At 38.3% G+C, this 22512-nt stretch overlaps 1 protein-coding gene across 5 annotated transcripts in view, besides 1 other annotated feature; it reads right to left on the bottom strand.

Annotated features, from left to right (window-relative positions):
* MINPP1 (multiple inositol-polyphosphate phosphatase 1) overlaps positions 1–22512 on the bottom strand; it is a 48569-nt gene that overhangs the window by 14463 nt on the left and 11594 nt on the right. For 3 of the 5 annotated variants that reach the window (XM_011540379.4, NM_004897.5, NM_001178118.2), the window contains one exon: positions 17830–17963. The exons of the other annotated variants lie outside the window; for them this stretch is intronic. In XM_011540379.4, the coding sequence (XP_011538681.1) occupies positions 17830–17963 (134 nt within the window). The remainder of the gene's footprint in view (positions 1–17829; positions 17964–22512) is intronic. 5 annotated transcript variants of the gene reach the window in all.
* Positions 1710–1759: a silencer, noted in NCBI's record as "silent region_2582". NCBI's record gives its function as "represses an Ori minimal core promoter by ATAC-STARR-seq in GM12878 lymphoblastoid cells {active_cell/tissue: GM12878}" and the evidence as "EXISTENCE:reporter gene assay evidence [ECO:0000049][PMID:35858748]".

The raw sequence follows: 22512 nt of genomic DNA, 5'->3' as shown, positions 1-22512 counted from the left end.
TTAATGAGGGTTGATAACTATGTGTGTGTTCAAAGTAGATAAAGGATACAAAGCAACTACTTCAAGTTATTCAAAAAGCTCAACCAGAAAAAACAACTAATAATTGCATGTTTTCCCCCCAAATGTACTCAGCTAGATCTTTCTAAGCTCTTAATTCACGTTTCACACTCAATTGATGTTATGCAAAGTATGTTTTTAAACATGATCCAGGAATATCAAATACAGCTTTACACAACTCATATAATTCCCATATTTATGTAAGTATACAAATAAGCAACATGAACTGCCAGATGCTTTGGGAAGAAAATTACCAGAAAAAAATTTGTTGTTAAGTCTTCCACATCTAATTGAAACATCAGTTCCAGTGAGTATTTGGAGAAGCACCAATCCAACAGCTTAACATAAATCAAGAACTAAAATGACTCAAGTATGACATTTTTCTTCCTCAAGCAAAAATACACTGAAACAGTTTCCACTTCCAGTCAAGACGGAGTAATAGGGACCAGATTTACTGTCCTACCTTAAAGTACCAGAAAGCTGAACAAAACATACAAAGTTTCAGACACTCAACAATAGTTATAAGAAAAGGAAGGCAAAGGAGGTGACTCCAACAACTGCCCCAGCTTACTGCCGAGTTTCCAGACTATGGCACAGGGAGGGGATGCCCAAACAGCTCGGGAAGTCGCCCTGAGCAGCTGAGATGGGAGTGAGAATTTAGGGAGGCCACACTGGCTGAATTCACAGCAGGAGTACCTGAGAAGAGAGTGCTGCAGACCAGCAGGGGCTCCCTCAAATTTTCAGCTGGCACTGAACAGCACATGCGTATGAGAAAACTATCCAAATCCCGGAGAAAAAACATTGAAAAGGAATAGGTAAAAAAAAAAAAAAAATTAGCAGAGCTAATTACAGATTACTCCTATCTATAATCCCAGTGACTCCAGAAGCAGAGGGGAAGGACTGCTTGAGCCCACCAGGAGACCAGCCTGGGCAACACAGTGAGAAAAAAATAAAAATAAATAAATAAATAAAAATAAGTTCCATGTATTAAAAATTTTTTAAGGATTAGCCAGGCATGGTGGTATATGCATGTAGTCGCAGCTACTTGGGAAGCTGAGGTGGGAGGATTGCCTGAGCCTGGGAGGTTGAGGCTGTAGTGAGCTATGATCGCACCACTGTTCTCTGGCCTGGGTAACAGAGTGAGACCCCGTCTAAAAAAAGAAAAAAAATTCCCAAAGCTAACACAAAAAAACAGAATAGTTTTCACATAAGCCAGAGTGGGAAAACCTCAAAATACACAGGGTACATATAAATACTCAGGGTGAAATGCCTCAATAATGGGGCAAAATCAGTCCATTAATATATATATATTTTTTAAGAAAGGCAAACCATAGACTAAGAGAATATATTCCTATAGAGCATAAATCTGACAAAGGACTTGTACCTAGACAACACACACACACACACACACACACACACACACACACACAAACAGTAATAAAGATAACCCAATTAAAAAGCACACAAAATAAAGACTTCACCAAACTAGATATATAGATGTAAATAAGCACATGAAAAGATGCTCAGTATCACTAATCATTATGAAAATGCAAACTAAAACCACAACAAAGTACTACTACACACCCATTAGAATGGTTAAAATTAAAAAGACCTGCCATATGAAGCGTTGGCAGGATGTGGAACAACTGAAACTCTCATACATTGGTGGGAAAAGTTTGGCAGTTTCTTAAAAAGTGAAAAAGACGGCCGGGCACGGTGGCTCATGCCTGTAATCCCAGCACTTTGGGAGGCTGAGGTGGGTGGATTATCTGAGGTCAGGAGTTCGAGACCAGTCTGGCCAACATGATGAAACCCCATCTCTACTAAAAATACAAAAATTATCTGGGCGTGGTGGCACATGCCTGTAATCCCAGCTTCTTGGGAGGCTGAGCCAGGAGAACTGCTTGAGCCCACGAGACAGAGGCTGAAGTGAGCCAAGATCGTGCCGCTGCACTCTAGCCTGGCCAACAGAGTAAGACTCTGTCTCAAAAAAAAAAAAGTGAAAAATACACCTACTTAAGACTCAACCATTCCATCTAATTAGGTAGGTTCCCAAGAAATCAAATCATAACATACAAAGATCACAAATATTCAGAAGCATTATTTGCAATAGCCTTAAAACTGTGAATAACCAAATGTTCATCAAAAGGTGAACAAATGGTGGTGGATCTATGTAACAGAATACTACTTGGTCTTAAAAAGGAATGAACTATTAGATTCATCAGCAACACAGATGAATCTTACAATCACTATGTTGAGTGAAAGAAGCCCAACAAAAAAAAATTCACTATGATTCCATTATATAAAATCCTAGAAAATACAACTTAATGTATAGTGACAGAAAGTGTATCAGTGTTACCTGAAAATGGGGGTAGAAAGTGAATTAGAAAGGGTCACAAAGAAACTTGGATGTGATGGATATTTTATCTTGATTATGGTGATGGTTTCATGGGCGTATATATATATGTAAAAACTGACCAAATTGTACACTTTAAATATGTACAGTTTACATGAATTATACCTCAATCGAGTTATTAAAAAACACATCAAAACAATTACTAAGAGCTGATATGCTGAGATTAGTGAAAGAAAAGTCTTTGGTAGCCTACTTCAAAGACTCCTCATAAAGCCTTTACCAAACCCCAAAGAGTTCAAATTAATTCTCTCTCAGTAATTTTGTTTTTATCTGTTTTAGTGCTATTATAAGTGTTCTCTAAACTTTGAGTTTGGAGACAATTTCAATGCATTCATCTTTGTATATACCCTCTGTTGCCAGCCAAATAACCTGAACATAGTGGGTTATCAAAGATAACCTGGAAAACGCTGTATATTTATTTCAATAGATTTGTCCAAATATTCTTGAAAAATAACAATAGACTTTACTTGTCTATGTTCTAATTAAGGAGAGAGATGTTTAAGTGTAAACCTCAGAATACATGGAACTTATTTAAAATTAACACAAATAACTAAAGCAGAAATAGGAACAATCTTAATTTATTTATTTATTTATTTAGAGACAGGGTCTTGCTCTGTTGCCCAAGCTGGAGTACAGTGGCATGATCACGGCTCACCCTAGACTCGAGCTCCCTGGCTCAGGTGATCCTCCCACCTCAGCCTCGTGAGTAGCTGGGACTACAGGCACATGCCACCACGCCTGGCTAATTTTTTTTTTCTTTTGTAGAGGTAGGGATTACCCCTGTTGCCCACGCTGGTCTCAAACTCCTGGGCTCAAGCGATCCTCCTGCCTTGGCCTCCCAAAGTGCTGGGATTACAGGTCTGAGCCACCACGCCAGGCCAGGAAAATTTTTAAATCAGCATCTAGATGACAGGTAAAGTATACTGTTTTTCTCTGGCATAGATAACACCCTAACAGCTTATTTCCCAACACTGTCTAACTCAAACCATCAAATTAACTTGGGCATTTTACATTTTCATTCCCACATAGGCCTTTGCTCAATACTCTTCTTCCTTGATGTCTTCCTTATTCTTCTCTAGCCAAATTTTGCCTGGAATGATTGTCATGATGGTATTAATAACAATTAATAAAATACTTAATTGTGTAAAGCATAGTAGTAAAAGATAAATGTGTCTTTACATGTATTTGTGTGGTACACAGACATACATGAACACAGAACTCCACTCAACCTTCTCAACACCTTGAAACATGAGTATTACCTGAATTTTAAAGATGACAAAATTTTGGTTAGGAAACGCTGAACAAGGATTTGAGTTTTAATAATCCTATGCCAATGCAAATTCCATTACACTACAGTGTCAATGATTAAGGCTCACCTTACATCTTACATCCACACAGAAGCCATTTCCAACTACCATGAACTGCAGAGATGACTTACTTTCCCAAGCATCCTTTCGCTTTTGACTAAATTACTTTCTTAAGACATCTTCCTTACTAGACTGAGAGCCCCTTGGATGTAGCGGGTATAACTTCTTATCCATGTTTATGTATTCCCAATGCCTAGCATTGTGACCACACATTGTATGTGCTCAAAAACTGCTTGCTGAATTGAAATGAACTGAGCCTTTAGTTATGGAGCCATGAAATAATTTCCTAACCTCTTAGGTGGTAGAAGCATTTCTTCCATAGAATCTCTGACACAGTTATCCAGATTCAACTAGCATATTTCTAAAATAGGACACTTACTACTTCACAAAACAGCCTATTCTACTTATTTAACAGTTATTAAAAAGTTGTGGGGTTTTGTGTGTGTGAGGTTTCTTTTTTTAAAATAGTAACTGAAACAAGATTTGCCTTCCGGTTCTACTGTTGGGGTCAGCACAGAGTAGGTATACTCTCCAACTATGACAAGAATAGATATGACAACAGATTTAAGAGTGATTCTTACAAAACTGGATACAATTCAACAAGAATAGTTTTAAAAAAAAATGTACAAAGGTAAAATAATTGTGCAGAAATAATGAATAACTACTTAGTAGACCTACAATCTAGTGATAGTCAAAAAGTGTCTATTCAAAAGGCAGCTGGACATTTGAATATGAATTCAGAGTACAGCCAGGCTAGTTATATAAACTTTTACTTATTAATATTTAGCCAGTATGTGGCCGGGCACTGTGGCTCACCCCTGTAATCCTGTAATCCCAGCACTGTGGGAGGCCAAGGCAGGCAGACCACCTGAGGTTAGGAGTTCAAGACCAGCCTGGCCAACATGGCGAAACCCTGTCTCTCTACTAAAAATATAAAAATTAGCTGGGCATGGTGGCAGGTGCCTGTAATCCCAGCTACTTGGGAGGCTGAGGCATGAGAATCACTTGAACCTGGGAGGTAGAGGTTGCAGTGAGCCGAGACGATGTCACTGCACTCCAGCCTGGGGGATAGAGCGAGACTCTGTCTCCAAAAAAAAAAAAAAAAAAAAAAAAAAATATTTAGCCAGTATCTTTCAACACTACAGAGATTCCTAGCACTGAAAAGATTCCTGATACCCCTGGCTAAACTCCATGGAACTGTGACTTCAAAAAGTTGGCAAAAACACCTAGAATTGGCGTACATTTCTAAGAACTTTAAAGCAGCAAGTTTCCCCTGTTACAATGGGCTAATTGACCAAATAACTAAAATCACTTGGTGTCACTACACATTTATCTCAATGCTGCCATCTTACGTTAAAATATGGGACTACACAGCTTTAAAAAGCCATACCTTATAGACTATGAAATCTGAAAATATCAATGATTTGAAACCCAACAAAAAGGTAGAAAAAAAAGGTTAACACTGAGAGTTGAGGTATTTAGTAACAGTAAAAAATATTTTATAGTAATTAACTTAAAATGGAAGATCTCGAGGCAAGTAATTATAGACCCAAAATAAATCTTTGAGAAAACATGAAGTAACTTGTTGAAATCCTCGAATCTAAAAAGATTATATTAACAGATATATGGGGAAGGAGACAGTAAAATAAAATCTGGAGATACTTCATTTCTTCAGTGAATTCAATCTGCTTTTCTAATCACAGCTGCTTAAATAGAAATATCTGCTTAAATAGAAATATCTGCTTAAATTTGCTGGTTTTAACTTTAATCCCATTACTATAGTGATGGTGCAAAAAGGAAAATAAAAATCAAGTTCCTAATAAAATGCAAGGAGCTGAATTTCAAGGGCCGGTTATATTTAACTGAAAATTTAACAATTTGCAATCTTCCATTTTTTCCATGAAGTAAAACCATGCTATCAAAATTATGTTGAAAAAAAAATTCAGTGGCACTGAAGAATGTCCCTGATTTAATGTTAATATTAAAAAAAACCAATCTGTATACATACTAACATTCTAACAAGGGGTAGGGGTGGGATGGAGAAAGCAAAAATAGCCTGGGAACTTGGGAAAGTGAAAGTCATTTTGTCAGAAAATATGGATGTCAAAATACTCACTTATAAACTCTAATTCCAAATTTAAAAAAAGGATTTTAAGTCATGTACAAAAAAAAAAAAGGCTAATGTTTTGATAGAAGAGATCAGGAAAAACACAAAGATAAACATTCTATTAAAAGCTTATTATTCTACCACACTGGTGCCTGACTGTCAATGTGTGGAGAAAAGCAGTAAGTAGGAACTCTCTGTACTTTCTACTCAATTTTGCTGTGAACCTAAAATTACTTTTAAAAGTCCATTAGTTAAAAACAAACAAACAAAAAACAACTTACTTGCTCCTTGCTGAGCATATATTGATTTTCTTTAGAAGTGCTTCTCACAGCACTAGTCAATCTGTTTTTAGGAGAGAAACCTGACAGAAGTCTCAAACCGTACTTTATTCTCCTTTCCTATTTTAAGGTTTAATCTTAATTCAGCAAAATAAGCATCTTTTAAAATCCTCATCAGTCTTTTAGTACAGAGATACCCAGTCCCAGGAAACCATCTGCCAGTTTCTTCATCATCGCTCACTGCTGAGCAGTGTTTGTTGATTCCTTCTTCAGTTAGAACAAGAGGCGGTGGCCAAAACGATTTCCTGTCTTAAAGGGTCAAACTCTCTCTTTCAACTTCTTACATTGTTTCACAATCTTACATAAACAGTTATATCATTATACATGGCTTTTATAAAATGTTTTTATTTTCTCTAGACTGTAAGAGCCACAGTGCAATGACTTTGCCTCAGTCATCACTGCCTGACATATAAACATAGTAGCTGCTTTGTTGAATGAATTTTCCTTTCAAGCCACAAGGCATAATCATCCAAAAGAAGTAAAAATGTTTTCCATCTTGCAATGAAAAGGAAGTTAGTTTAATAAATGACGCCATAAAGTTTGAAAAGAATAAGTCTCACAAAGCTCTTGTTTTCATTATTTGGACAATTGCCAAGGGGGGCAGGGGTGGTAGAGGGGAAGGGTGTGTGAATATCTGAAAAAGACATTAAGGACATGTTTGGGCCAGAGAACTATCACATATAATACCAATACCATGTCTGTATATCATATTATACTAAGTGCTTTAATAAGTATTATCTCACTTGATTATCACAATTCCATGAGTCAGGTGAGGTATAGGTTGAGTATTCCTTATCCAAAATGTTCGTGACCATAAATCTTTTGGATTTCAAATTTTTTCAGATTTTGAAATATTTTCATATATATAATCTTGGGGATGGGACCCAAGTCTAGACATGAAATTCATTTATGTTCCATATACACCTTACATACATAGCATGAAGGTAGTTTTATACGATATTTTAAATAATTTTAAAAGTTTCAACTACAACCCATCACAGGAGGTCAGGTGTGGAATTTTTGACTTGCTGCATCACATCCGCACTCAAAAAGTTTTGGAGTTTGGAGTATTTTGAATTTTCACATTAGGGCTAGGCATTCTTCATTCCTCTTTTCCAAAGTAAGGAATCTGCAGCATCCATAAAGCAGGACCAGGAGTCAAACCAAATCCAAGCAACTGCCTACTATGTCATATTGCCTCTACACCACAGAACTGCACCTGCTACTACAAGCCATGCATGAAAATTCACCTCATTAGCTTCTCAGTTTATTAAAATACCATCAGCTACTAGCTACCAAAAATGGAGTGCTCAATTAGTTGCATTTTTCCCTCTGTAATTTATTTGTAGGTGAGATAAGCAAATTATAAGAAAATAAGCAAGATGATGAGGAGGAGGTTCCAAGAACAGCTCCAGTCTACAGCTCCCAGTGTGAGCCATGCAGAAGACAGGTGATTTCTGCATTTCCAACTGAGGTAGCGGGTTCATCCCACTAGGGCTTGTCAGACAGTGGGTGTAGCCCACGGAGCATGAGACAAAGCAGGACGGGGCATCGCCTCACCCGGGAAGCGCACGGGGTCAGGGAATTCCCTTTCTTAGCCAAAGGAAGCCATGACAGACAGTACCTGGAAAATCAGGACACTCCCATCCTAATACTGCACTTTTCCAATGGTCTTAGCAAACGGCACACCAGGAGATTATATCCTGCGCCTGGCTCGGAGGGTCCCATGCCCACAGAGCCTCGCTCACTGCTAGCACAGCAGCCTGAAATCGAATTGCAAGGCAGCAGTGAGGCTAGGGGAAGGGCGTCCACCATTGCTGAGGCTTGGGTAGGTAAACAAAGCCGCCAGGAAGCTTGAACTGTGTGGAGCCCACTGCAACTCAAGGAGGCCTGCCTGCCTCTGTAGACTCCACCTCTGGGGGCAGGGCGTAGCTGAACAAAATGCAGCAGAAACTTCTGCAGACTTAAACGTCCCTGTCTGACAGCTTTGAAGAGAGTACTGGTTCTCCCAGCACGGAGTCTGAGATCTGAGAACGGACAGACTGCCTCCTCAAGAGGGTCCTTGACCCCCAAGTAGCCTAACTGGGGGGGCACCTCCCAGTAGGGGCCGACTGACAACCCATCCCCTCTGAGACGAAGCTTCCAGAGGAAGGATCAGGCAGCAACATTTGCCATTCTGCAATATTTGCTGTTCTGCAGCCTCCGCTGGTGATACCCAGGCAAACAGGGTCTGGAGTGGACCTCCAGCAAACTCCAGCAGACCTGAAGCTGAGGGTCCTGACTGTTAGAAGGAAAACTAACAAACAGAAAGGACATCCACACCAAAACCCCATCTGTACATCACCATCATCAAAGACCAAAGGTAGATGAAACCACAAAGATGGGGAGAAACCAGAACAGAAAAGCTGAAGATTCTAAAAATCAGAGCACCTCTTCTCCTCCAAAGAAACACAGATCCTCACCAGCAATGGAACAAAGCTGGACGGAGAATGACTTTGACGAGTTGAGAGAAGAAGGCTTCAGACGATTGGTAATAACAAACTTCTGTGAGCTAAAGGAGGATGTTCGAACCCATCACGAAGAAGCTAAAAACCTTGAAAAAAGATTAGACGAATGGTTAACTAGAATAAACAGCCTAGAGAAGACCTTAAATGACCTGATGGAGCTGAAAACCATGGCACGAGAACTAAGTGATGCATGCACAAGCTTCAGTAGCCGATTCAATCAAGTGCAAGAAAGGGTATCAGTGATTGAAGATCAAATGAATGAAATGAAGCGAGAAGAGAAGTTTAGAGAAAAAAGAACAAAAAGAAATGAACAAAGCCTCCAAGAAATATGGGACTATGTGAAAAGACCAAATCTACGTCTGACTGGTGTACCTGAAAGTGATGGGGAGAATGGAACCAAGTTGGAAAACACTATTCAGGATGTTATCCAGGAGAACTTCCCCAACCTAGCAAGGCAGGCCAACACTCAAATTCAGGAAATACAGAGAACGCCACAAAGATACTCCTTGAGAAGAGCAACTCCAAGACACATAATTGTCAGATTCACTAAAGTTGAAATGAAGGAAAAAATGTTAAGGGCAGCCAGAGAGAAAGGTCGGGTTACCCACAAAGGGAAGCCCATCAGACTAACAGTGGATCTCTTGGCAGAAACTCTACAAGCCAGAAGAGAGTGGGGGCCAATATTCTACCTTCTTAAAGAATTTTCAACCCAGAATTTCATATCCAGCCAAACTAAGCTTCATAAGTGAAGGAGAAATAAAATCCTTTACAGACAAGCAAATGCTGAAAGATTTTGTCACCACCAGGCCTGCCTTACAAGAGCTCCTGAAGGAAGCACTAAACATGGAAAGGAACAACCGGTACCAGCCACTGCAAAAACAAGCCAAATTGTAAAGACCATCGAGGCTAGGAAGAAACTGCATCAACTAATTAGCAAAAAACCAGCTAACATCATAATGACACGATCAAATTCACACATAACAATATTAACCTTAAATGTAAATGGGCTAAATGCTCCAATTAAAAGACACAGACTGGCAAATTGGATAAAGAGTCAAGACCCATCAGTGTGCTGTATTCAGGAGACACAACTCATGTGCAGAGACACACATAGGCTCAAAATAAAGGGATGGTGGAAGATCTACCAAGCAAATGGAAAACAAAAAAAAGCAGGGGTTGCAATCCTAGTCTCTGATAAAACAGACTTTACACCAGCAAAGATCAAAAGAGACAAAGAAGGCCATTACATAACGGTAGAGGGATCAATTCAACAAGAAGAGCTAACTATCCCAAATATATATGCACCCAATACACGAGCACCCAGATTCATAAAGCAAGTCCTTAGAGACCTACAAAGAGACTTAGACTCCCACACAATAATAACGGGAGACTTTAACACCCCACTGTCAACATCAGACAGATCAACGAAACAGAAAGTTAACAAGGATATCCAGGAATTGAACTCAGCTCTGCACCAAGCAGACCTAATAGACATCTACAGAACTCTCCACCCCAAATCAACAGAATATACATTCTTCTCAGCACCACATCACACTTATTCCAAAATTGACCACATAGTTGGAAGTAAAGCACTCCTCAGCAAATGTAAAAGAATAGAAATTATAACAAACTGTCTCTCAGACCACAGTGCAATCAAACTAGAACTCAGGATTAAGAAACTCACTCAAAACCGCTCAACTACATGGAAACTGAACAAACTGCTCCTGAATGACTACTGGGTACATAACGAAATGAAGGCAGAAATAAAGATGTTCTTTGAAACCAATGAGAACAAAGACACAACATACCAGAATCTCTGGGACACATTTAAAGCAGGGTGTACAGGGAAATTTATAGCACTAAATGCCCACAAGAGAAAGCAGGAAAGATCTAAAATTGACACCCTAACATCACAATTAAAAGAACTAGAGAAACAAGAGCAAACACATTCAAAAGCTAGCAGAAGGCAAGATATAGCTAAGATCAGAGCAGAACTGAAGGAGATAGAGACACAAAAAACCCTTCAAAAAAAATCAGTGAATCTAGGAGGTGGGTTTTTGAAAAGATCAACAAAACTGATAGACTGCTAGCAAGACTAATAAAGAAGAAAAGAAAGAAGAATCAAATAGACACAATAAAAAATGATAAAGGGGATATCACCACCAATCCCACAGAAATATAACTATCATCAGAGAATAGTATAAACATCTCTACGCAAACAAACTAGAAAATCTAGAAGAAATGGACAAATTCCTGGACACATACACCCTCCCAAGACTAAACCAGGAAGAAGGTGAATCCCTGAATAGACCAATAGCAGGCTCTGAAATTGAGGCAATAATTAATAGCCTACCAACCAAAAAAAGTCCAGGACCAGACGGATTCACAGCCAAATTCTACAAGAGGTACAAAGACGAGCTGGTACCATTCCTTCTGAAACTATTCCAGTTAAAAGAAAAAGAGGGAATCCTCCCTAACTCATTTTATGAGGCCAGCATCATCCTGAAAGCCTGGCAGAGACACAACAAAAAAAAAGAATTTTAGACCAATATCCCTGATGAGCTTATCCACCATGATCAGGTTGGCTTCATCCCTGGGATGCAAGGCTGGTTCAATATATGCAAATCAATAAATCAGTAATCCATCATATAAACAGAACCAAAGGAAAAAACCACATGATTATCTCAATAGATGCAGAAAAGGGCTTTGACAAAATTCAACAGCCCTTCATGCTAAAAACTCTCAATAAACTAGGTATTGATGGGACATATCTCAAAATAATAAAAGCTATTTATGACAAACCCACAACCAATATCATACTGAATGGGCAAAAACTGGAAGCATTCCCTTTGAAAACTGGCACAAGACAGGGATGCCTTCTCTCACCACTCCTACTCAACATAGAGCCAAATCATGAGTGAACTCCCATTCACAATTGTAGGGATGTGAAGGACCTCTTCAAGGAGAACTACAAACCACTGCTCAAGGAAATAAAACAGAACACAAACAAATGGAAGAACATTCCATGCTCATGGATAGGAAGAATCAATATAGTGAAAATGGTCATACTGCCCAAGGTAATGTATAGATTCAATGCCATCCTCATTAAGCTACCAATGACTTTTTTCACAGAATTGGAAAAAACTACTTTAAAGTTCGCATGGAACCAAAAAAGAGCCCACATTGCCAAGACAATCCTAAGCCAAAAGAACAAAGCTGGAGGCATCATGCTACCTGACTTCAAACTACACTACAAGTCTACAGTAACCAAAACAGCATGGTACTGGTACCAAAACAAAGATATAGACCAATGGAACAGAACAGAGCCCTCAGAAATAATACCACACATCTACAACCATCTGATCTTTGACAAATCTGACAAAAACAGGAAATGGGGAAAGGATTCCCTATTTAATAAATGGTGCTGGGAAAACTGGCTAGCCATATGTAGAAAGCTGAAACTGGATCCCTTCCTCACACCTTATACAAAAATTAATTCAAGATGGGTTAAAGACTTAAAAGTTAGACTTAAAACCATAAAAACCCTAGAAGAAAACCTAGGCAGTACTATTCAGGACATAGGCATGGGCAAGGACTTCATGATTAAAACACCAAAAGCAATGGCAACAAAAGCCAAAATTGACAAATGGGATCTAATTAAACTAAAGAGCTTCTGCACGGCAAAAGAACCTACCATCAGAGTGAACAGGCAACCTACAGAATGGGAGAAAATTTTTACAATCTACCCATCTGACAAAGGGCTAATATCCAGAATCTACAAAGAACTTAAACAAATTTACAAGAAAAAATCAAACAACCCCATCAAAAAGTGGGTGGATATGAACAGACACTTCTCAAAACAAGACATTTATGCAGCCAACAGACACATGAAAAAATGCTCATCATCACTGGCCATCAGAGAAATGCAAATCAAAACCACAATGAGATACCATCTCACACCAGTCAGAATGGCAATCATTAAAAAGTCAGGAAACAACAGGTGCTGGAGAGGATGTGAGAACACTTTTACACTGTTGGTTGGACTGTAAACTAGTTCAACCATTGTGGAAGACAGTGTGGTGATTCCTCAAGGATCTAGAACTAGAAATACCATTTCACCCAGCCATCCCATTACTGGGTATATACCCAAAGGATTATAAATCATGCTGCTATAAAGATACATGCACATGTATGTTTATTGCGGCACTATTCACAATAGCAAAGACTTGGAACCAACCCACATGTCCATCAATGATAGACTGGATTAAGAAAATGTGGCACTTATACACCATGGAATACTATGCAGCCATAAAAAAGGATGAGTTCATGTCCTTTGTAGGCACATGGATGAAGCTGGAAACCATCATTCTGAGCAAACTATCGCAAGGACAGAAAACCAAGCACTGCATGTTTTCACTCATAGGTGGGAACTGAACAATGAGAGCACTTGACACAGCATGGGGGACATCACACACCTGTCATGGCGTGGGCCTGTCGTGGGGTAGGGGGAGGGGGAAAGGATAGCATTAGGAGATATACCTAACGTAAATGACGAGTTAATGGGTGCAGCACACCAGCATGGCACATGTATACATATGTAACAAACCTGCACATTGTGCACATGTACCCTAGAACTTGAAGTATAACTTTAAAAAAGGTGAAAAAAAGAAAATAAGATGAACAAAAACATGATATAGTAATACAAAGGAATATTATTCAGCCATGAAAAAGAATGATACATGCTACTGCTACATGTACAACATGGAAGAACCTTAAAAATATGATGCTAAATCATAAAAGCCTGTCACAAAGAACCACATATTATATCATTCCATTTATATGAAATGTCCAGAATATGCCAATGCATGCAGACAGAAAATATATTAGTGGTTGCCAGGGGATGGCAGAGTGAGGGTGAATGGAGAGTGACTGCTAAGGCACAGCATATAGAGTTTCTTTTTGAGGCGATGAAAATGTTCTAAAGTTGCAGTAGTGATGGTTGTGCAACTCTGTGAATATACTAAAACACTGAATTGTGCACTTTAAGTAGGTAAACTGTATATGATACAGGTATTACCTCATCTTGTGCTTTGATTTATTGTGCTTTGTAGATACTGCATTTTGCCACAAATGGAAGGTTTGTGGCAATCCTGAGTTAAGCAAGGCCATCTGTGTAATTTTTCCAACAGCACGTGCTCATTTTGTGTATCACATTTTAGTAATGTATCACATTTTAGTAATGTATCACATTTTAGTAATACACAATATTTCAAAGTTTTTTTAATTATTACTATGATTATTATATCTGTTATGGTGATCTGTGATCAGTGATCTTTTATGTTACTTTTGTAATTGTTTTGGGGTGCCATGAACCCCACCCATATAAGATGGTAAATTTAACTGATAAATGTTGTATATGTTCTGACTGCTCCACCGACCAGCCATTCTCCATCCTCTTTCCTCTCCTCCAGTCTCCCTATTCCCTGAGATATAATACTGAAATTACGTCAATTAATAATCCTACAATGGCCTCTAAGTGTTCAAATGAAAGCAAGACTCACACATCTTTCACTTTAACTCAAAAGCTAGATATGATTAAGCTTAGTGAGGAAGGCATGTCCTAAGCTGAAACAGGCCAAAAACTAGGTCTCTTGGGTCAGTTAGCCAAGTTATGAATGAAAAGGAAAAGTTCTTGGAGGAAATTAAAAGTGCTACTCCAGTGAACACATGGATGATAAGAAAGTGGAAGAATGTTATTGCTGATAGGAAGAAAGTTTCAGTGCTCTGGTAGAAGATCCAAACAGCTGCAACATTCCCCTTAGCCAAAGCCTAATCCACAGCAAGGCTCTAACTCTCCTCAATTCTAGAAAAGCTAAGAGGTAAGGAAGCTGCAAAAGAAAAGTTAGAAGCTGGCAGAGGTTAGCTCATGGGGTTTAAGGAAAAAAGCTATCTCCATAACACAAAAATGTAAGTTGAAGCAGCAAGTCCTGATGTAGAAACTGCAAGTGATCCAGAAGATCTAGCTAAGATAACTGAAGGTCACTATACTAAGCAGATTTTCAATGTAGACAAAACAGCCTTCTTTTGGAAGAAGATACCATCTAGAACATCAATGTCTGGCTTCAAAGGATAGGATGACTCTCTTGTTAGCAGATAACGCAGCTCCTGACTGTAAGTTGAAGCCAATACTCACTGGTCATTCCAAAAATTCTAGGGCCCGTAAGAATTATGCTAAATCTATTCTGCCTGTGCTCTATAAATAGAACAACAAAGCCTGGATGACAGCACATCTATTTTTACACAGCATGGCTTACTGGCTCTTTGAAGCCTACTATTGAGACCTCCTGCTCAGAAAGAAAGATTCCTTTCAAAATATTACTGCTCATTGACAATACACTTGGTCATCCAAGAGCTCTGATGGAGATGTACAAGGAAATTAATGTTGTTTTCATGTCTGCTAAAACAAAATCTATTCTGCATCCCATAGATCAAGTAGTAATTTTGATTTCATTATAAATTTTAAGAAATTAATTAAGAAATAAATTTAAGAAATATTTAAGAAATAAATTATTTAAGAAATAAATTTCTTGGGAGGCCGAGGCAGGCGGATCCAAGGTCAGGAGATCGAGACCATCCTGGCTAACAAGGTGAAACCCCATCTCTACTAAAAATACAAAAAAAAAAAAAAATTAGCTGGGTGTGGTGGCAGGTGCCTGTAGTCCCAGCTACTCGGGAGGCTGAGGCAGGAGAATGGCGTGAACCCAGGAGGCGGAGCTTGCAATGAGCCGAGATCACGCCACTGCACTCCAGCCTGGGTGACAGAACGAGACTCTGTCTCAAAAAAAAAAAACAGAAATTTCATATGACAGAGAAATATTATTTATTTAAGAAATAAATGTCATAAGGCTATAGCTGTCATAGACAGTGATGCCTTTAATGGATCTGAGGAATGTAAACTGGAAACCTCCCAGAAAGGTTTCACCACTCTAGATGCCATTAAGAATATTTGTAATTCATGGGAGGAGGTCAAAATATCAACATTACCAGGAGTTTGGAAGAGGCTGATTCCAACCCTCATGGATGATAGGAAGTAGCTGCAGATGTGGTGGAAATAGCAAGAAAATTACAAGTGGTGCCCAAAGATGTGACTGAATTACTGCAATATCATGATCAAACTTGAACACCTGAGGAGTTGCTTCTTATGGATGAACAAAGTGGTTTCTTGAGATGAAATCTACGCCTGGTGAAGATACTATGAATATTGTTGAAATGACAACAAAGGATTGTGACAGTGACAAAGCAGTGACAGGCTTTGAGAGGATTGACTCCAATTTTAAAATATGTTCTACTGTGGGTAAAATGTTATTAAACGGCATCATGTGTTACAGAGACATCTTTCATGAAAGAAAGAGTCAACTGATGCAGCAAACCTCATTGATATTTTCTTTTACAATAAATTGCCACAGCCACCCCAGCCTTCAGCAACCACCACTCTCATCAGTCAGCAGCCTCAACACCTGAGGCAAAACCCTTCACCTGCAAAAAGATTACAACTCTCTGAAGGCTCAGATGATCATGGGCATTTCCTAGTAATAAAGCATTTTTAAATTAAGGTATGTATGTATTGTTTTTTAAGACAAAATGCTATTGCACACTTATTATAGTATAAACATAACTTTTATATGCACCGGGAAACCAAAAAAATTGTGTGACTCCCTTCATTGTGATATTCACTTTTTTGCAGTGGTCTGGAATTGAACTTGCACTATCTTTGAGACATGCCTACATATGAATTATTTCTCAAACTGTTTTAAAAAATAATGACCCTATGACACTGTAAAATCCTTAATTAAAAAAATTCAATTATTTTCCAATATATTGCGCATCAATGCAGGGAAGTGATCTAATAATTTTAAAACATTTTCAGTAATTATGTCATAAGCATTTTGGTGTTGCCTTGTAAAAAAAAACTTTACTAATTCAGAAAAATGGAGTCTTCTTTAAAAAAAATTTTTCCACTTTTACCAAAAAATTATTTCATTCCGTTTTTTTTTACACTTTTGTTAAATACTCAGATTAAGTTTTACTGAAGCATAACTACCATGAAATTCATCAGTTTTAATTAAAGAGTTAGATATCTTAACAAATGTATACAGCTGTCTGTGTAATCACCACAATCCAGTTTGGGAAAACTTCTACCACCTACAAAGTTCTCTGTGCTCAGCTGGGTGCAGTGGCTCATGCCTGTAATCCCAACACTTTGGGAGACCAACGGGAGAGGATTCCTTGAGCCCAGAAGTTTGAAACAAGCCTGGAATTGAGGTTCTATCAAAGGTTCAAGTCATGAAAAATTATTTTTAATTGAAGATTATAAATGTTAACAAAAGCTTTTTCTCTTTCAAAACAAAAACATTTTGCACATTCATAGCAGGAGCCACATAGAGTTCATAATTACACTAATTATAACAGCAAAAGATAGGAACTATCTAAATGCCCACTGACAAGAGTAGATGGTATATTCACATTATTGAATATTGTACTACAGTGAAAATGAACTACAGCTATATGCAATAATATGTTGAATATTAAAAACATAAAGTTGAGGGGGGAAACAAAGCAAGTCCCAAAAGACAATAAGCAGTATGATTCCAAGAAAAACTAAATATATTCTTTGGGCACCAATACATTCATAATATAAACTGTTTTAAAGAGGCGAAGGAATGACCAATACAAAATTCCAAAGAATAGTTTCTGGAGGAAAGGGAAGGGCAAGAGGAGGCAGGAAAATGGAATAGTTGAGGAACACATAAGTAAACAAATGCAATTTATTATGAATATTCTAGTTCTTGGGTAGAGTGGAAGGTTCGTATGTTTTATAATTTACATATATGTTATCGAATTCTTTTGTATCACATTATATTAAAATTTTTTTAAAACACAAGCAAAAACTATTTTTTAAAATTACTCATTATAAAAAAATTTCCAGAAGTTTAGTAGTAACTCAAAATGTACTTCACATTTTTTAGAAAGTTCTTACCTTTGTTTCTGTTCAACTGCTTTGTCCAAGTGCTGAAAGATATCCTGAAACAAGGTGCAGCTGGATCGACTGTTAATAGTATACCCATATCCTCTTTTCCAATATTGTTTCAGATCATTTAAATATTCTAATACCTAAAAAAATTCAAAAATAATTTCTAATATATTTTCAAAAATATAACAAGATTCCCTGATTTAATAATGATTCTCTAAGAAATGGTTACAATGTTTAATTACCATTCTGCACAAAATATAGTATTTGTCCTTTCCAGCATTTAAGAGTTGGTCCCTAAGGTTCATACCACAGAGAGATTTATGCTGCATCACAAATTTGGATTGGGGGAATGTAGATGCTGGTGTGCAAGAGCAAGCCAGTAAGTGCTCACAGCCAATCATCCAAGGTCAGGACAGCTCAAGAGAGTGGAGTAAGGACATGTGCTCACCTCTCCTTTCTTCTAACATTATATTAAGATGATATTATATTAATATTCTTCTTTATTCTTTCTTCTAAATGTCAAGGATACATTTAGAAGAAAGAATAAAGAAGAAGAATATTCATTAAAGCACAGAAAGATACCATAGGTGGATGAGAAATGTATAAGAATTTTGAGAAGGTAGAAGTCAAATAGAAAATGAGTTACTTTGGTTCATGTATCTGTTTGGTGAAAAAATAATAATAAAAGTGTACCAAGGATATGGGGAAATGGGTACTGTTGGAAGGAATGTATATTGGTATAGACATTCTAGAGGGCAAATTGGCAAAATCCATGAAAACACACATACCCTATGACCCATTTAATTCCATTTCTTATAAAGTGATATTCACAGAGGAACACCAGGGAGAATGTACAAGAATGACTTATAGTAGCACTGCTTATAGAAGCCAAAAAATCCCCAGAAACAACTAAATTCCAATAGTAGGTAGATGGTTAAATAAACTATGGTATACACATACTTCAGAATACTTTGCAGTTATCAAAAAGTTCTATATTATAGATTTCCATGTACTGACATGGAAAAATCTCCAAGACACAATGTTGAATAAGAACCCATTAAAAATAATACATACCCTATAATACCATTTATTACCAACACACACACACACACACACACTATACCTTTTATATTTCTAAGAATGATACAGATTATAAAAGTATAGAAAACGGTTTGAAACCTACCTATCACTGATTACAGTTATTAACCTCTGCTGAAAGGTCTGGAACCGGGAGCTGGTAATTAAGTAGCCTTTATCTGAGGGTTAAATTTTCCACTTACATATCATTTGATCATTTGCTCATGTAGAAGTGGAGAACTGAAATCTCTATCTAGAACTAAAACCTGTAGCTAAAACCACAACTAGGGGACTAAAATATGTAACCCAAAAGAGGTTCAAGATGACTACAATAGTCACAAACCTTTCTTCCCGAAAGAGCTCCTAGAGAAACTAAGTGCATGTCATAGTAAGTTTTAAGAGCAGGGGTGGGTCAGTGCCATATATAAAAACAAAACAAAAAATACATTAAAGGGGTGAGGAGGAGCTACTTGCTACACTAGCATTGCTGCCTACAATCTAGACTAGCACAGCACAATGGCAACTTGTGTCCCTTCCAAAGGTAGCAGTGTAGATATTTATTAATGAAGAAAAGGAGAACAGCTGAGGGAAAAAGGATGAATAAACGGGTTATAAATTGAAGGAAATGACATATTACATGAACGCCTTGAACGGGGCTCAGAGCAAAAGGTGACGCTGTCTCTTAGCTCAAGTATGACAGATGCATGAAAGGGTGAAGCCATAAATTTGCCAAGACCACTCCTGGTTTTGGAACCTGACAGGATTGAAAGGAAGCTGGCAAACCTGAGTGGCCTTGCCCTGGAAGACATTCATACAGATGATGGACTGGATTATTAATGATTGTATATATTCTTTTGATGTAAGGTATCCCTCTTCGAAAACCAGGGGCTGACCTGTGGTATTATGATATGTATATATTGGCTTTCGTCCACACTTCCTGGTTTGTAACTCCCATATCCCTTGTTGTAGTCTTTTGGTATAATGCTGGGTGTGTTAGGCCTCCAGGGCAGGCCTCAGGAAACAGAATCTCTCTCCTGCCTCCCTTTCACCTGTGCGGAGGCAGAACTCTAATCTTCCTGCCTTTCTGGGGGTCTTAAGATCCTGCCCTGAAAGGGTCCTGCCTCATATCCTGGGGGGAAGGAATACTTCCATAAAAACCCAAGAGGACTGGGTTTAGAGAGCTTACAGATAGCTGAACATGTGGAGCTTCCTGGAGGGTGGCATGCCCAGGGAGGACATGGAAGCTCCACGCCCCTTCCCCCATATCTCGCCCTACTCATCTCTTCATCTGTATCCTTTGTAACATCCTTTATAATAAACCAGCAAAAGTGTTTCCTTGAGTTCTGTGAGCTGCTACAGCAAATTAACTGAACCCAAAGAAGAGGTCATGGGAACGCCAACTTGAAGCCAGCTGAACAGAAGAGTACCGATGGGGCACTTGGGGACTGAGCCCTCAACCTGTGGGATCTAATACTACCTCCAGGTAGACAATGTCAAATCTGAACTGGAGGACACCCAGCTGGTGTCTCCTGCTTGGCGTGCAGGGGAAAGGCTCCCACACATTTGGTCACAGAAGTCTTCTGTGTTGATGATTGTGATGGTGGTGTGAGAGTAAAGGAAAAACACGGCTTGAGAGAGTCTGTCCTTACACAAAGGCAATGAAATCAAGAAGTTAACAAAGAGACGTAAACACTAAGAAATTTAAAAAGGAATTAGATAATAGTCTGTTCAATCTATTCAAATAATAAAATCTACTATTAGAAATAAAAAGGAGGCAACTGGAGATTTAAAAAATTCTCACATGCTTACCACTAAAACTTTATATTTAAAAAAAAAAAAGGGCCGGGTGCGGTGGCTCACGCCTGTAATCCCAGCACTTTGGGAGGCTGAGACAGGCGGATTGCGAGGTCAGGAGATCGAGACCATCCTGGCTAACAGGGTGAAACCCCGTCTCTACTAAAAACACAAAAAATTAGCCGGGTGTGGTGGCGGGTGCCTGTAATCCCAGCTGCTCGGGAGGCTGAGGCAGCAGAATGGCTTGAACCCGGGAGGTGGAGCTTGCAGTGAGCCGAGATCACGCCTCTGTACTCCAGCCTGGGTGACAGAGCAAGACTCTGTCTCAAAAAAAAAAAAAAAAGGCCAGGTGCAGTGGCTCACACCTGTAATCCCAACAGTTTGGGAGGCTGAGGCAAGTGGCTCCCTTGAGGTCAAGAGTTCAAGACCAGCCTGGCCAACATGGCAAAACCCCGTCTCTACTAAAAATACAAAAATTAGCCAGGTGTGGTGGCGGATGCCTGTGGTCCCAGCTACTCAGGAGGCTGAAGCATGAGAATCGATAATTCTACCAGACATACACCTTCAGAAACAGGTATACCTGTACCCCAATAAACATATACAATAATGTTCATAGCAACAAGGTTCATAATAGCCCCAAACTAAAAACAATGTCTACTGAAAAGATAATGAATAAACTGTAAAATATTCATATAATGGAATATTATACAGTAATGAAAATTAAAAATTGTAGCTATATGCAACCTCATAAATCTTTTTTCATTTTTAAAACTTTATTAAATTGTAATTTACATACACATGATTTAAATATACAGGCTGATGACTTTCGACAAATATAAACAACTGTATAACCTGCCCCCACCATGATAATACAATGACTTAATCGCCCCCAAGAAGTTACCGCTTGCCCCTTTGCTTCAATCTCCTCTAATACTCTGCTACAGGTACATGTTTTACGGAATCCTGAGAAATGTCTGTGACCTCATAATTCCCAATCCATTTGAGAAGAGGTATATTTTCCTGAAATTTGTAAACCTTTTCACAACACAACAGGTCAAGATCATTTTAAATTCCTCCCAGTTCAAATCCCTGCCTTCTAAGTAGCAATCTATAAATGGGAAGCTTTTTTTTTAACTTGTGTCGTGGGAGTTTGTTGTATGGATTACTTCATTACCCAGTTATTAATCCTAGTGCCCATTAGTTATTTTTCCTGATCCTCTCTCTCTTCCCATCCTCTGCCCTCTGAAAGGCCCCAGTGTATGTTGTTCCCCTCTATCTGTCCATGTGTTCTCACCATTTAGCTCCCAAATAAATCTTAAAAACTTAATGTTGAACAAGAGCTAGATACCAAAAGAAAAAAAACACACGCTGAGTAATTCCATCATTATAAAGTTCAAAAACAGATAAAGCTAAACTGTTTCTTAGGGAAAAAATAAATTAGTAAACAATAAACTACTGTAATAAAGAAAAAATTGAAAGCAAAAATACACAATTACGGAGAAATAATTTCAGAGAAGGAAAACACTTTTTAAAATCAAAAGATATATTTGCTTAATTCAGCAAATAATGGATAACATAAATGACTTTTATAGGTATATTAAATACCAAAACTAATCCCAGGAGAGAGAAAATCTAGATATACTTATTAAAGCAGACACAAATTGCAAAAAAGCTATCCTACAAATTAACTTTCTCCTTTGTGCCCCACTACACCTTTCATGGGCAGTCTGCAACTTATGATGGTTTGACTTAAAATTTTTCAACTTTACAATGGTTCAAAAGCAATACACTTTCAGTGCGCTCCTTGACTTACAACGA

This window comes from Homo sapiens, chromosome 10, assembly GCF_000001405.40.
Source record: "Homo sapiens chromosome 10, GRCh38.p14 Primary Assembly".
NCBI classification, from domain to species: domain Eukaryota; kingdom Metazoa; phylum Chordata; class Mammalia; order Primates; family Hominidae; genus Homo; species Homo sapiens.
Note: the sequence above shows the minus strand (reverse complement) of the source record. Positions and strands in the feature narration are given on the sequence as shown.